A 16784-nucleotide genomic window follows, 5' to 3' on the forward strand; every position below is an offset into this window, starting at 1 on the left:
GCTTCTAGGCTACAAACCCATACAGCACGTTACTGTACTGAATGCTGTAGGCAATTATAACACAATGATAAGTATTTATGATTGAAACATATCTGCACATAGAGAAAGTACAGTAGGCCAAGCATTATGGCTCACACCTGTTAATCCCAGCACTTTGGGAGGCCAATGTGGGAGGATAGCTTAAGTTCGAGACCAGCCTGGGCAACATGGCAAAAACCCATCTCTATTAAAAAAAACAACAAAGCAAAACAAAAATAAAGACTACAGTGAAAACACGGTATTATAATTTTATGGGACCACGGTTGTATATACAATCATTGACAGAAACATTGTTATGCAATACAAGACTATATTATTTACTGATACAGTAGTAAGTAGGGAAGAAATAATTGTTAAGACAGTATTTCCTGAAAAGTTCTAAGAGAGACTATGGCAGCCCCAGAGAATGGCAGAGAGGAGAGCAGGTGAGAGCTAGTGGTGAAAGTTTCAGAACAGGGGCTTCATACACGGAACACAGGATGTTATGGCAAACACCTCAGATAGGATTGGAGGATCTGTGAGAAGAGAGAACAGGTGCTGTCTGCCCAGGGCAGCCTTCGAGGTGGCAGAGGAAATTTTCCTAAGCCAGCATGATGGGTTAGGCAGCAGCGGGGTAGAAATGGCAGCAGGCTGACTCCCGCCTGACAGAGGGCCCGAGGCGGCACCCAGCATGGAAGAGCACAGGAGTCTGAATGTCGATGAAGGGGAACCATGACAGAGTGAGGACATCTGGACAGCTGTCAGTGGGTGAGATGTTGATGAACACGCAGAGACATAAGGTTCATTTCGAAGGGTGTAGAATCAAGGTGGGCCACAGACCAGAGGCTCTGTGCCCACCATGATGCCACAGGAACCCCAGAATGTATATGCCACTCTGGAGAGAAGGGTTCCAAAGAAAGAAATTCCAGCTGACTGAGTTTGAGTCTAAAGTGACTGAGCAAACCCTGAGGTGAGTGAGTTTTTTAGGAACTGACACAATTATGTTTTCTGTCTCCAGACAGAATGGTGAACTGAAATACAGATTAATTTGAGTTATGGAAAAAGAGGGTCAATATTTTTTGCATAATCCTGTACATGACTGCGAAATTCATGCCCCATAATTAAAAATAATAAGCTGTGATTCATTGACTCAATGGAATACTATACAGTAGTTAAAAGAGTGAAATATATCTATGGGCACTGTTATACAAAATTGTTGACATTACTTTTTTATTGATACAAATATTTGTACATAGTTATCAGGTGCATGCTGTATTTTGTTACATGCACACAAAATGTAAAGATCAATTCAGGATATTTAAGTTGTCCATCATCTTGAGTATTTACCATTACTATGTGTTGGGAACACTTAAAGTCCTCTCTTCTAGCTATTTTGAAATACACAATACATTTTTGTTAACGATAGTCACTCTACTCTGCCATCAAACATTAGAACTTATTCCTTCTATCTAACTGTATTTTTGTACCAATTAACCAACCTCTATTTCCTACCATGGCGCATCCAACACACACCCTTCACAGACTCTGGTATCTCTCATTCTATTCCTACCTTCATGGTACCAACTTCCTCAGCTCCCACGTATGAGTAAAAGCATGTAGTATTTGTCTTTCTGTTTCTGGTTTATTTCACATAACATAATGAGTTCCAGTTCCATCCGTGTTGCTACAAATTTCGTTCTTTTGTAAGGCCAAATAGAATTACATTGTGTATAAGTATGTTTTTATTCCATTTGTCTATTGATGGACATCTAGGTTGATTCCCTATCTTTGCTATTGTGAATAGTGCTGCAATAAACACGATAGTGCAGGTATCCTTTTGATATACTGATTTATTTTCCTTTGGGTACATGTCCAGTAGTGGAATTGATGGATGATATGACACTTCCATTTTTAGTTTTTTGAGAAATCTTCATACTGTTTTTCATAGTGACTGTACTAATTTACATTCTCACCAACAGTATATAAGAGTTACCTTTTCTCTGCATCCTCCCCAGCATCTGTTATTTTTTGTCTTTTTAATGATAGCCATTCAAACTGAGGTAAGATGATACTTCATTGTGATTTTTGTTTGCATTTTTCTGACGATTAGTGAGGTTGAGCATTTTTTATATACCTGTTGACGATTGTATGGTTTTTTTTTTTTTTTGAAAAGTGTCTCAATGTTCTTTATCCATTTTTTTAAATGAGATTATTTGTGTTTTGTTGTTGTTGAGATGTTTGAGTTTCTTGTATTTTCTGGATATTAGTGCCTCGTAGAATGAATAGTTTGCAAATATTTTCTCTCATTCAACAAAATTGTTTCTTCACTTCGTTGATTGCATCCTTTGCTGTGTAGAAGATTTTTAGTTTAATATTGTTGCATTTCTCTATTTTTATTTTTGTTGCCTATGCTCTCAAGGTCTTAGCTATAAAATCTTTGGCTAGACCAATGCACAAAGTGTTTCTTCCTTGGTTTTTATGTAGTACTTTATAGTTTTGGATTTCATGTTTGAAATCTTTAATTTATCTTCACTTGGATTTTGTGTATGGTGAGAGATAGAGGTCCAGTGTCATTCTTCTGCATGTGAGTATCCAATTTTCCCAGCACCACTTATTGAAGGGGGTGTCCATTTTCCAATGTATGTTCTTGGCACCTTTGTCAAAAATCAGTTGACTGTAAATTCATGGATATATTTCTGTGTTCTCTATTTTGTTCCATTGGTCTGTGTCTGTTTTTTTGCCAATGCCATGCTTTTGGGTTACTTTAGCCTTGTAGTGTATTTCGAAGTGAGGTAGTGTGATGCCTCCAGCTTTGTCCTTTTTGCTCACGATTTCTTTGGCTATTCAGACTATTTTTTGGTTCCATATAAATGTTAGAATTATTTTTTCTATTTCTGTGAAAAGTGACATTGGTATTTTGATAGGGATTGCATTGAATCTATAGATTGCTTTGGGCAGTTATGGTCATTTTAATGGTATTAATCCTTCCAATCCATGAGTATGGAATGTCTTTCCATTTGTTTGTGTCCTCTAAAATTTCTTTCATCAGTGTTTTGTAGTTTTCCCTGTAGAGGTCTTTCATTGCCTTGGTTAAGTGTGTTTCTAGGTATTTTATTTTTTGTAGAAATTGTAAATGGGATTGCCTTCTTAATTTCTTTCTCAGCTAGTCCATTATTGATGTATAGAAATGGTACTGATTTTCATATGTTGATTTTTTATGCTACAACTTTGCTGAATTTATCAAATATAAAAGTTTTTTGGTAGAGTCTTCACGTTTTCTAGACATACGATCATGTCATCTACAAAGAGGGACAATTTGACTTTTTTTTTTTCTTCAGTTTGGATTCCTTTTATTTTTTTCTCTTGCCTGATTATTCTGGCTAGGACTTCAGGTACTATGTTGAATAGGAGTAGTGAAAGTGAGTATCTTTATCTTGTTCCAGTTCTTAGAGGAAAGGATTTCAGCTTTTCCCCATTTGGTATAATGTTAGTTATGGATTTGTCATATATGATCTTTATTATGTTGAGGTATGTTTCTTCAATGACTAATTTGTTGAGAGTTTTTTTTTTTTAATCAGGAAGCAATGCTAAATTTTATCCAATACTTTTTCTATGCCTTTTGAGATGGCATATATTTTTTGTCCTTCATTCTGCTGACGTGATGTATGACATTTATTGATTTGCATGATTTGCAAACTTTGAACCATTCTTGCATCTTTGAAATAAATTCTACTTGATTATTGTGTATTTTCTTTTTGAGGTGATGTTGTATTCAGTTTGTTAATATTTTGTTGAGGATTTTTGCATGTATGTTCATCAGTGATATTGGCCTGTAGTTTTTTATTGCATCATTGTCTGCTTTTGGTACCAAGGTAATGCGGTCTTCATAGAATGAGTTAGAGAGAACTCCCTCCTCTTCAATTTTTTGGAATAATTTCAGAAGAATTGGTGCTAGTTCTTGTTAGAAAGTTTGGTAGAATTTGGCAATGAAGCCATCAGGTCCTGGACTTTTCTTTGTTGGGAGATTGTTTTTTAATGGTAATTTTCTCTTTTTTAAAAATTATTTATTTATTTTTAATTTTACTTTGAGTTCCAGGATACATATGCAGAATGTGCACATTTTTTTTTGTTATATAGGTATATGTGAGCCATGGTAGTTTGTTGAACCTATCCTGTCACCCAGGTTTTAAGCCCCGCATGCATTAGCTATTTGTCCTGAGGCTCTTCTTTCCCTTACCCCCAACCCCCAACAGGCCCTAGTGTGTGTTGTTCCCCTCCTGTGTCCATGTGTTCTCATTGTTCAACTCCCACTTATAAGTGGGAATATGCAGTGTTTGGTTTTCTGTTCCTGTGTTAGTTTGCTGAAGATGATGGCATCCAGCTTCATCCATGTCCCTGCAAGGACATGATCTCATTCCTTTTTGTGGCTGCACAGTATTCCATGGTGTCTATGTACCACATTTTCTTTATCCAGTCCATCATTGATGGCCACTTGAGTTGGTTCCATGTCTTTGCTGTTGTGAATAGTGCTGCAATAAACATATGTGTGCATGTATCTTTACAACAGAATAATTTCTATTTCTTTGGGTATATACCCAGTAATGAGATTGCTGGGTCAAATGGTATCTCTGGTTCTAGATCCTTGAGGAATAACCACACTATCTTCCACAATGGTTGAACTAATTTACATTCCCACAAACAATGTAAAAGCATTTTTATTTCTCCACAGCCTCACCAGCATCTGTTGTTTCTTGACTTTTTAATAATAGCCATTCTGACTGGGGTGAGATGGTATCTCCTTGTGGTTTTGATTTGCATTTCTCTAATTATCAGAGATGTTGAGCTTTTCTTCATGTTTGTTGGCTGCATAAATGTCTTCTTTTGAGAAGGGTCTGTTCATGTCCTTTGCCCAATTTTTGATGGGGTTGTTTGTATTTTTCTTGTAAATTTGTTTAAGTTCCTTGTAAATTCTGGATATTAGACCTTTGTTAGATGGGTAGATTGCAAAAATGTTCTCCCATTCTGTAGGTTGCCTGTTTCCTCTGATGATAGTTTCTTTTGCTGTGAAGAAGCTCTTTAGTTTAATTAGACCCCATTTGTCAATTTTAGCTTTTGTTGCAATTGCTTTTGGTAATTTTATCATAAAATATTTGTCCATGCCTATGTCCTGAATGGTATTGCCTAGGTTTTCTTCCAGGGTTTTTATGGTTTTGGGCTTTACATGTAAGTCTTTAATCCATCTTGAGTTAATTTTTGTATAAAGTGTAAGGAAGGGGTCCAGTTTCTGTTTTCTGCATATGGCTAGCCAGTTTTCCCAGCACCATTTATTAAACAGGGAATCCTTTTGTTGGGAGACTTTTTATTTCTACTTTGATTTCATTACTTACTGGTCTGCTCTAGTTTTCCATTTCTTTCTGATTCAACTTTGGTAGGTTGTTTGTTTTCAGGAATGTATTCATTTTCCTTAGGTTTTTCAGTTTAGTGGTGTGTAGTTGTTCATAATAGTCTCTGAAAATCTTTTGTATTTCTGTGGTATCAGTTGTAATGTCTTCTTTTTCATTTCTGATTTTGTTTATTTGGGTATTCTCTCTTTTTCTTGGTTAGCCTAGCTAACAGTTTACTGATTTTGTTTACCTTTTCAAAAACAACTTTTAGTTTCGTTGACTCTTTGTATTTTTTAGTCTCTATTTCATTTACTTCTGTTCTGATCTTTTTTCTTCTATGAATTTTGAGTTTTATTCTTGCTTTTCTAGTTCCTTGAGATGCATCATTAGATTATTTATAATTTTTTAACTTTTTTGATGTAAGCATATATTGCTGTAAACTTTACTCTTAGCACTGCTTTTACTGTATCCCACAGGTTTTGGCATATTGTGTTTCAATCTTTAGTAGTTTCAATAAATTATTTAATTTCCTCTTTAATGTCTTCATTGACCCAGTGGCTATTCAGGATAATGTTGTTTAATTTCCATGTATTTTTACAGTTTTCCAAGTTCCTCGTTATTAATTTCTAGTTTTAATCCATTGTTATCTGATAAGTTGCTTGATATGACTGATTTTTAAAAACTTGCTATTGAGACTTTTTTGTGTCCTAGTATATGGTTTATTTTGAAGAACGTTCCATGTGTTGAGAAAAATGTGTATTCTGTAGTTATTGCATGAAATGTTCTATAAATGCATGTTAAGTTTACATGGTCTAATGTGCAGTTTAATTCCAATGTTTCTAAGTTAATTTTCTGTATAGAGAATCTGTCTAATGCTTAGACTGGGGTGTTGAAGTCCCTAATTACTATTTTATTAGAGCCTATCTCTCCCTTTAGATCTAATAATATATGTTTTATATATCTGGATGCTCCATTGTTGGGTGCATATGTTTAGAATTGTTATGTCCTGTTGTTATAATGACCTTCTTTGTCTCTTTACTGTTTTTGACTTAAATTCTCTTTTATCTGATACAAGTATAGTTACTCCTGCTTGCTTTTGGTTTCTGTTTGCATGGAATATCTTTTTCTATTTCTTTACTTTCAGTCTGTATGTGTCTTTATAGTTAAGATTAATTTCTTGTAGGCAGCATAATATTAGATCTTTTTAAAATCAAGGTTATTTTTGATGTGTAAGGGCTTCTTCCTGTCATTTTATTAATTGATTTCTGGTTGTTTTGTATATCCTTTTTTCTTAAAGCATTTTCAATATATTATTCCATTGTCTCTTGGCCTCTAATGTTTTTGCTGAGAAATCTGTTAGTCTGATGGGGAGTCCCTTATAAGTGACCTAGCTGCTTTTCTCTTGCTGTTTTTAGAATTCTCTCTTTGTCTCTGACTTCTAACAGCTTGATTATAATGTCCCACAGAGGCTTTTTGCATTGTTTCTGTTTGGAGAACTCTGTGTTTCCTGGATGTCTAAATCTCTTGCTAGGCTTGGGAAGTTTTCTGCTATTATTTCATTGAATAAATTTTCTAACCCTTTTCCTTCACCTTCTGGGACACCAAATATTTATATATTTAATTGCTTTATGGTGTCCCAAGTGTCACATAGGATTTGTTCATTGTTTTTTATTCTTTTTTTACTTTTAGCTGACTGAGTTATTTCAAAAGACATGTTTTCAAGTTTTGAAATTCTTTACTCCACTTGACTTATTCCATTGTTGAAGCTTTCAAATTTATTTATTTATTTATTTTTTAATGAATTCTTCAGTTCCAGAATTTCTGTTTGTTTTTTTTTAATGTTATTTATTTCTTTGCTAAGCTGCTCATTCATGTCCTGAATTGTTTTTCTGAGGTATTGTTTTTATGTGTTCTGTTTTATCTTACTGAGCTTCTTTAATATCATTACTTTAACTTACTTATCCAGGATTTCATAAATTTCTTTTTGATTGGAACCTGGTTGCTGGAGAATTATTACGTTCCTTTGGAAGTGTCATATTTTGAAGTGTCATATTTTACTTGCTTTTTTATGCTTCTTGTGTCCTTATGTTGATATCTGTGCATCTGGTGTAACAGTCACTTCTTGAATTTTTTAAAATTTTGCTTTTGTAGGGGACAATTTTTCCTAAAGATATATCTATGATTTCAGTTGGGTAAGGCACTTTGGCTTTGATTCTGAGTATGTGCAGTAGTGTAGTCTTCATGTGACTTATTTGGCTGTACACAGCACCAGTGGTTTCTGTGATTTCCTCAGTGGCTTAGGGTGTGGTTGTTGACGAAGGATGTAGTGATGTTTTTCTGGGGATGGGGATACCAGGTGGGCCTCTCCTTGGGCCCCAGTAGTGGCAGTGGCAAGCTGAGCATGCCTGTCCTTGGGATCCAGGGTGGCATATTCTGGCACGGATGTTAGCAGGTTCAGGTCAGCTTATTCTTGGGCTTCCAGGCAGCCTACTCAGGTGCTGTTAGTGGCAGTGGTGGGCTTCGCAGGTGGGTGTGGCATGGGTGATGGAGGTAGCAGTGGTAGCGCTAACCTCTGGGTCCTAAGCAGTCTGCACTGGTGTTGACAGTGGCTGTGATGGGCTAGGTGGCCTAGTCCCCAGGCCTGGAGGTGGCACATGTGGGGAGGGGGGGATGCCACTCTGGTGGTAGCAGAAGGCTAGGTGATCCCACCCTCAGACCCCCAGAAAGACTGCTCAGGTGCCAAGGATGGTGGATCAGGCTGGGTAGTCCCCAGGCCCCTGGATGGCATATTTGGGCACTGAAAAAATGGAACCAGGCCAGGTAAATCTGTCATCAGGACCACTGGTGGTACATGCAGATGCTGTCTGTGGTAGGCCAGGGTGAGGTCATCCCCAGGCCCAAGGCAAAATGTTTAGGTGGGTGTGGCAGCAGCTGCACTGCAGCCCTGCTACTGGTGAGGGCAGTGTTGCTTTCAGCGGCAGCAATCATATGCCGGCAGCTGGGAAATATGCACTTTATTTATGCTTTGGCCCCAGCTGCTATAGCCTGCAGCAGCAGCTGCTGCAAGTGGGGGAGTTTGTCTTTGAGGCATGTGAAAATGCATGGAAACTTTGCTGCTGGTGGCAGCAGGATCTTTGCCAATGGCTAGTGCTTTAGCTCTGGAGGCAGCAGCCAGCTGCAGCAGTGGCTGCAGGTAAGGAATATAAGTTGGGCTCCAGAGATGTGGAAATGCAGGGGCTACTGGGCCCCTGGACGGGATGCAGTGTTGCGGGGGCTGGGCTTTTAATATGGAACCTTGCTGTAGCTGCTTATGGCTTCATGAGGGAAAGGGTGAGCCCTAGTATGAGCTCCCTCTCCGGAGCAATACCTTCACATGGTCTTTAGGCAGCTTCCTATGTTAGTCACAGGGATTGCGAGGGTCTAGGAGTTTTCCTGTAGCTAAGATGCAGGAGTCCATGGTTGGAATGTACATCACTGGAGGTCACTTGCTTACTCTTTCCCTGCATTAGAGAGCCTCTCCAGGCTCTCAGCCAATCCTACTGAGCAGTCTGCCTTGCTTCCCTCTCTTTTCCGTGCTTTAAGTGTTTTCTGTTACTTCTATATTGAATTCCAGTGCTCTCTCTTTGATGATCTATTTGAAGTGTGATTATCTACTCACTATTTGGTTCTTCTTTGTGGAAAAGGCGTTTACCAGATGCCTCTAGTCAGCCACCTTGAAGCCCCTCAACATTAAATTTTGAAAAAGTTGCAGCGTAGTATATATAGTATGAAAGCAATATATAAAAACACACATGCATGTATACACATATACATGTGTGTATATACATATACATATGCACAAGCACAGTTATAAACTTATATAGAATATATATTACACATTAATATTATTTACTATATAATACACCTAGACTGTTAAAATATATATTTGTATATTTTTATACATCTATATATGTCAAAGTGTGTTCGCGTGTATGTATGTGTATATCTCTGTGTGTGTGTATATTTATATATATATATATACATTTTTTTTTTTCACAGTGATTATCCCTGAGGAGTGGCATTGGGGGGAAGGTGTGCAAAACCAGGAAATTTTTACTCTTTGATTATAAACTTCTCTAGTGTTAGACTTTTTTTTTTTTTACAGTTAGCAAGCATTACTTACATATTTTTTAATTAGAAAATGTGCATGACGCACAGTAGGCAGTGAATAATGGTAGCTCCTATTTGGAGAAGGTAGCATTTACTGAGTTTTGCTATGTGTCAAGAGTTGCTTTAGGTACTTTCACATAAACTGTCTCGTCTAACCCTCTCCTGCTGCTGAACCACACCTCTTGGCCCTTGGCTGAGTCCTCTTCTTGCCACACTAGCTGCATCATCCTGTTCTCCAAGACACACACAAACCCCAGATGCCACCTCTGCTCCAGCAAAAAGGGCCCCTTTGGCGCTGGCCAACTCCAGGATGCAAGTGGAACCAGAGGAGCATCAGAGGACAGAGGTGTGCAGGCAGCATGCCCAGTGCAATTAGAGGCGGATTAAGATGGAAACAGTGTGGGGTCCAGGCGTGATGTGTTTTTGTCATCTTGTCTCGGATTAGTAGTAATATATCTGCTGGTGTGATGGACGCATCTGCTTTCGTTTATTCTGAGCCCTGGTAAGCTCACAGGCTTGGATTAAAGCAAAATCATGCTGAGCGAACATTGCTATTTAGCTACTTTTTCCCCCTCTCTTTTTCTTTTCCATTTTCAAGTTTTAATGTGAATGTAGCAAGAAGCCATTTTCATCCAACATGATGACTTGGAAAAGATGCCTCTACTTCTTATATTCTGAAGGGGAGGAGGCCTGAACCAGAAGGTGGGACCTGAGAGGTCAGGTGTGTATTATAAAGGGCAGAAAAGAGAAAGGAGAGAGATTCTGTGGGTTGTAGAGAAAAATGTGAATTTGTAGGAACAGTTCTGAGATGACTAGATCTGCTACACTTTCCCATTAAAGCAATAAACAGCCACCTCCTCCAACAACAAAGTTGACAGTGCCCTGTATATTTCACTCCACATTTCACACCTCACAGAGGATTGGGCTTCTCCTGTCTTTTCTCTTGAGTCTTGGAGGAAGCGGGCTCTGGACCTCCCTGCCTCCTTACTGCTCTGCCATGCTCATCCAGCCACTTCAAGTGCGAGACAACCTCTCTGGTGTGAGCTCCTCTTCAGGCCAAGCTATAGTTAGATGGATCCATCACAGGTGCATCTCCTCATTTCTGAAACCAGGGGCTCAACAAGCTCATCTGCCTTATTTCACACCTAGTATTCCTTTAGTTGGATGTCTGGTTAACTCCGTCATTTCTTGCTGGCTGCCCAAATTCTGCCTCTCAATGCTGAGTCAAACAACTCCCTTTGCAGCCACCTGAATCCCATCTTAGAAAGTCTGCCTTCCTTGGTTTCAGCCCAGCACCTATTTATCCAAGTCAAAGCTTCAGACACTTTTTGGTGGACTACACAAGATCTTGAGAGTTCCCCTCTCTCTACCTAGTCGGGTTTTTCTGGTCAGACAATATGCTCCTTTACGCCATCCTTGTGTACTTAGCAATTTGCACCAATTCATCCTGCCAGTTCCTCTTGAGTTTCCTGTATTGTTTCAACTTCCTTTTTCTTTTAAACATATTCAGGACAGCAACATCTTTGTTAACCAAGGAGAAAAATTACAAAAACATATTTCTGAAATATTATAACCAAATGTAGACTTTATAAACGAGGCCTAGGAATAAACGTTAGGCTACCGGGTGAGAGAGATTAAGGTAGGAACAGTCTTTAAAAGTGAAATAAAATGATGCTGAAAGTCCTCGGGGTTGCATGGGACAGAGGGAAGGGGTGGCAGTGATTAGGTGAAGTTTAGGAGAATTGGAGGAGAAGATAGAGCTGAATTCAAACCAGAAGAGGTGTAAGGGGTGGTAGGAGGGCAGGACTGTAGCTGCCCTCCCTTGGAGTGAGGCAGGCTTTGGGTCCTAAAAATAGTGGCTGAGGGATTCACTTTCTTTTATCATCTGCATGGCTTGGGACTTCAATATCCTCAGATGACTGCATACCTTCTCCCTGACCCAGTCTACCAGAGCAGGGGCCATTTAACGGGGGCAGTCCCTCTGACTACACTCCATCTCCAGCAAAATAAAAGGCACTTGAAAAGGGCTCAATCAGATTCACCTTCAGAACAGCAGAATCTGGCTAATGTGATTTCAAGCTTCCCCTCACTGCCCCTGGAGCTCTCCACCTTCTTGCTGATGTCTCAGATTCTTTTAACAAGGGAAAAAGACTTTCATGCCACAATTAGGAATAAAAGGCATAAAATGCAAATGCCTGGCTGAGCTCCAGTTGGAGAATAATCAATCAATCCTTGGAATATAAATTACTGATATCAGATTCTTCCCTGCTATGATACAGGGGGGAGGGTTAAAAGAGTTAACACCTGAAATGGGCATTGCCAAGGAGATGGGCGGGGAGGGAGAGCAGTCCCTTTCAGGTGTACACCTTGAGGTTTGAAGTGTGTGTGTGTGTGTGTGTGTATGCTTTGTGTCACTTAGTGTTCACAATTCTGGGAGGCAGGCATTTGTATTCTTCCTGTTGTGCAAAAAAGGAAACTGAGGCTCAGAGCTGTCAAGTAACTATTCCCAGGACCAGTGACTATGAAACAAGAGATATTTAGTTTGAACTTGTACCTGAGGTTCTGACTGCAAGCCCAGTGAACTTGAAAAAATACACCAAAGCTACAGAAAGAAACTGGAGACAAAAGAAATACCCTACAAACTTTTTCAATTTTGTCTTGGCTGAGACTTGTTTACCTTCAAATAGGGGAGGACACATGAATGTGTATGTGGAGCAATTTTAGTATGGAACTGCCAAGGCAGGCAGCCCGCTTTGCATGATTTATGAAGACAACGAAAAAAAGGAAGTTGAGAGTTGACTTTGTAAAAATAACCTCCATTTACTGTGAATTTGCTATTTGAAGTACACCCCTGTTTTCATTAATTTATCCTCCCTTCACAAAGTTCCTTTGACCTTTCCTTTTCAATCCACTTATGCAGCCGAGGGCTTAAACTATTTCTAGTTTATCATGGACATTATGCTTATTTTTCTTTAAAACGTTTTTTCAATTGAAATATAACACTCATACAGAAATACACACAAAACACGAAACTACATAGTTCCACAAATTATCATGCAATAGACACCTAGGAAGCCGTCACCTAGATTGGGAAATAAAACACCTCTAGCATCCAAGATGCTCTCTTCTTGTCCCCTCCTCCCCCTCACTACTCTCTTTCTACTTCTGGAGGCTTATTTTTATCCAGAGGTTACTCTTCTTCTGGCTTCTAAGATTATAGATTAATATTGCCTATTTTGGGACTTTATATAAATAGACTTATACTATATATTATTTTGTATTTGACTTATTTTGATCACTATTATATACATGAGAGTCACCCATCGTTGCATACAGCAGTTTATTTTCATTGCTGTATACTTTACCACTGTACAAATATACCCCATTCATCTGTCTATTCCACTGTTAGAATTTGGATTGTTTTCACTTTGGGGTTATTATAAATAATGTTACTATGAACAACATCCCTGCACAATTTTTTTTTTTTTTTAGACGGAGTCTCACTTTGTCTCACGCCTAGGCTGGAGTGCAGTGGTGTGATCTCAGCTCAGTGCAACCTCTACCTCCTGGGTTCAAGCAATTCTCCTGCCTCAGCCTCCCAGGTTACTGGGATTACAGGCGTGTGCCACCCTGCCCAGCCTGTACGTGTCTTTTGGTGCACATGTGTATATTTCTGCTGGATATTTACTTGGGATTGAAACTGCTGGGTCATAGAATATATGTAAGTTTAAGTTTAGCAGGTAATACCAAGCTGTTTTCCAAGTAATTGTACCAACGTACAGTCCCATCAACAATGTCTGAGTGCTCCAGTGGCTGCGCAACCTTGCCAACACTTGCTATTACCAATCTTGTGAGTTTCAGTTACTCTGGTAGATGTGTAGTGGTGTTTCATTGTGGTTTTAGTTTTCATTTCCTTGATTACTAATAAGGTTGATCACGTTCATATGTTTACCGGCCTCTGAAATATCTTTTCTTATGAAGTCCCCTTTTCACCCACTTTTTAATTAATTGTCTGTGTTTTATTGATTTGTAAGAGCTCTTCATATATTTTAGATTGAATCTTTGCTTACTTTATATGGATGCAAATAACTTCTCTGTCTGAGCACATGTTTTTTTTTTCTACTCATGGTATCTTTTGATAAGTTGAAGTTCTTAGTTTTAGTGTAGTCTAATTTAACAGCCTTTTCTTTCATGATTAGTACTTTTATGTGCTTCTAAATAATTTCTGTTTTTCTCCTAAGTCCATAGAAATAATATCCTATATTATCACATAGAATCTTTATAGTGCTTTCACTTTCAGATATGAATACCAACTGAAATTAATTTTTGTATATGCTCTGGTATAAAGGTCAAGTTTATTTTTTGTATATGGGTATCCGAGGGTTCCAATATTATTTATAGAAAAGATTGTCCTATTCCCACAGTTCCACAGTCTCAGAAGCCAATGTCCATACATGTATGGTATTTTCTAAACTCTCTTCCACCTCATTGGTCTATTTAACTATCATTGTACTAATGTCACACTATCTTAATTATTATAGTTTAGTGGTATATCCTTCTACCTTTTTGTTCTTCTTTAAGGAATGTCTTAGCTTCTTGGCCATTTGTGCTTTTATGTACATTTTAAAATAATACATTTTCAATTTCACAAAGAAAAAAGGAATAAAGAAAAACTATTGACATTTTGATTGATATTAAAGTGAATATATAGCTCAGTTTGGATATAATTGATGTTTTCACAGTATTTAGTTTTTAATGCTTATGAATTTAGATCTTTTAATTTTTCCAATAATGTTTTATAGGGTTTTTTGGGGGTGTATGTATGTGTAGAAGTCTTTCATACCTTTTATCAGATTTATTACTATTTTATATTTTCTGATGCTATTATGACTAGGTTATAATATCTAAAGAATAATCTATTTTCCAGCTCTTTGCTAGTATTATACACTTATATTTGGTTTTTACATATTGACCTTGTTTTCAACAACCTTTCTCAATAATTTTTTAAATTATGATTATTTATCATATATTCTTTTGGATTTTCTATGTTTAATATAATATTATCTGTAAATATTGACAGTGTTCACTATCCCTTTACAATTTTTATTTTTATTTGTTCTCTAATGTGCTGGCTAGAAGCTCCAGTACATGTTTTTCTAACAGAAGTCCATCCTTGTCTTGTTTTCATCTTTGAAGGAAAAGCTTTAATATTTCTCATTAAGACTGTTGTTGGCTGTTTCTTTTTAACTTTTTCTTATAAAATAATTTTCATTTCTATATCACTTAGAGCTTTTACCATGAGTAGGTGTTGGGTTTTATTAATTGCTTTCCATGCTTCGATCAAGAGTATCATATTAGTTTTCTATATTCTCTTAATATTTTGAATTACACTCTTTTTTTATTATTATTACACCTTAAGTTTTAGGGTACATGTGCACAACGTGCAGATTTGTTGCATATGTATACATGTGCCATGTTGGTGTGCTGCACCCATCAACTCATCATTTAGCATTAGGTATATCTCCCAGTGCTATCCCTCCCCACTCACCCCACCCCACAACAGTCCCCGGTGTGTTATGTTCCCCTTCCTGTGTCCATGTGTTCTCATTGTTCAATTCCCACCTATGAGTGAGAACATGCGGTGTTTGGTTTTTTGTCCTTGTGATAGTTTGCTGAGAATGATGGTTTCCAGCTTCATCCATGTCCCTACAAAGGACATGAACTCATCATTTTTTATGGCTGCATAGTATTCCATGGTGTATATGTGCCACATTTTCTTAATCCAGGCTATCACTGTTGGACATTTAGGTTGGTTCCAAGTCTTTGCTGTTGTGAATAGTGCCGCAATAAACATACATGTGCATGTATCTTTATAGCAGCAGGATTTATAGTCCTTTGGGTATATACCCAGTAATGGGATGGCTGGGTCAAATGGTATTTCTACTTCTAGATCCCTGAGGAATCGCCACACTGACTTCCACAATGATTGAACTAGTTTACAGTCCCACCAACAGTGTAAAAGTGTTCCTATTTCTCCACATCCTCTCAAGCACCTGTTGTTTCCTGACTTTTTAATGATCGCCATTCTAACTGGTGTGAGATGGTATCTCATTGTGGTTTTGATTTGCATTTCTCTGATGGCCAGTGATGATGAGCATTTTTTCATGTGTTTTTTGGCTGCATATATGTCTTCTTTTGAGAAGTGTCTGTTCATATCCTTTGCCCACTTTTTGATGGGGTTGTTTGTTTTTTTCCTGTAAATTTGTTTGAGTTCATTGTAGATTCTGGATATTAGCCCTCTGTCAGATGAGTAGGTTGCAAAAATTTTCTCCCATTCTGCAGGTTGCCTGTTCACTCTGATGGTGGTTTCTTTTGCTGTGCAGAAGCTCTTTAGTTTAATTAGACCCCATTTGTCAATTTTGGCTTTTGTTGCCATTGCTTTTGGTGTTTTAGACATGAAGTCCTTGCCCATGCCTATGTCCTGAATGGTATTGCCTAGGTTTTCTTCTAGGGTTTTTATGGTTTTAGGTCTAACATTTAAGTCTTTAATCCATCTTGAATTAATTTTTGTATAAGGTGTCAGGAAGGGATCCAGTTTCAGCTTTCTACATATGGCTAGCCAGTTTTCCCAGCACCATTTATTAAATAGGGAATCCTTTCCCCGTTTCTTGTTTTTGTCAGGTTTGTCAAAGATCAGATAGTTGTAGATATGCGGCATTATTTCTGAGGGCTCTGTTCTGTTCCATTGGTCTATATCTCTGTTTGTTTTTGTACCAGTACCATGCTGTTTTGGTTACTGTAGCCTTGTAGTGTAGTTTGAAGTCAGGTAGCGTGATGCCTCCAGCTTTGTTCTTTTGGCTTAGGATTGACTTGGCAATGCGGGCTCTTTTTTGGTTCCATATGAACTTTAAAGTAGTTTTTTCCAATTCTGTGAAGAAAGTCATTGGTAGCTTGATGGGGATGGCATTGAATCTATAAATTACCTTGGGCAGTGTGGCCATTTTCACGATATTGATTCTTCCTACCCATGAGCATGGAATGTTCTTCTATTTGTTTGTATCCTCTTTTATTTCATTGAGCAGTGGTTTGTAGTTCTTCTTGAAGAGGGCCTTCACATCCCATGTAAGTTGGATTCCTAGGTATTTTATTCTCTTTGAAGCAATTGTGAATGGGAGTTCATTCATGATTTGGCTCTGTTTGTCTGTTCTTGGTGTATAAGAATGCTGGTGACTT

At 37.9% G+C, this 16784-nt stretch overlaps 1 long non-coding RNA gene across 1 annotated transcript in view, besides 1 other annotated feature; it reads left to right on the forward strand.

Moving 5' to 3' along the window:
* Window positions 1-16784, forward strand: part of LINC02698 (long intergenic non-protein coding RNA 2698) — a 242222-nt gene that overhangs the window by 202272 nt on the left and 23166 nt on the right. The window lies entirely within an intron of this gene.
* Window positions 8428-8477: a silencer, noted in NCBI's record as "silent region_3919". NCBI's record gives its function as "represses an Ori minimal core promoter by ATAC-STARR-seq in GM12878 lymphoblastoid cells {active_cell/tissue: GM12878}" and the evidence as "EXISTENCE:reporter gene assay evidence [ECO:0000049][PMID:35858748]".

The sequence above is a fragment of the Homo sapiens genome, chromosome 11 (assembly GCF_000001405.40).
Source record: "Homo sapiens chromosome 11, GRCh38.p14 Primary Assembly".
NCBI classification, from domain to species: Eukaryota; Metazoa; Chordata; class Mammalia; order Primates; family Hominidae; genus Homo; species Homo sapiens.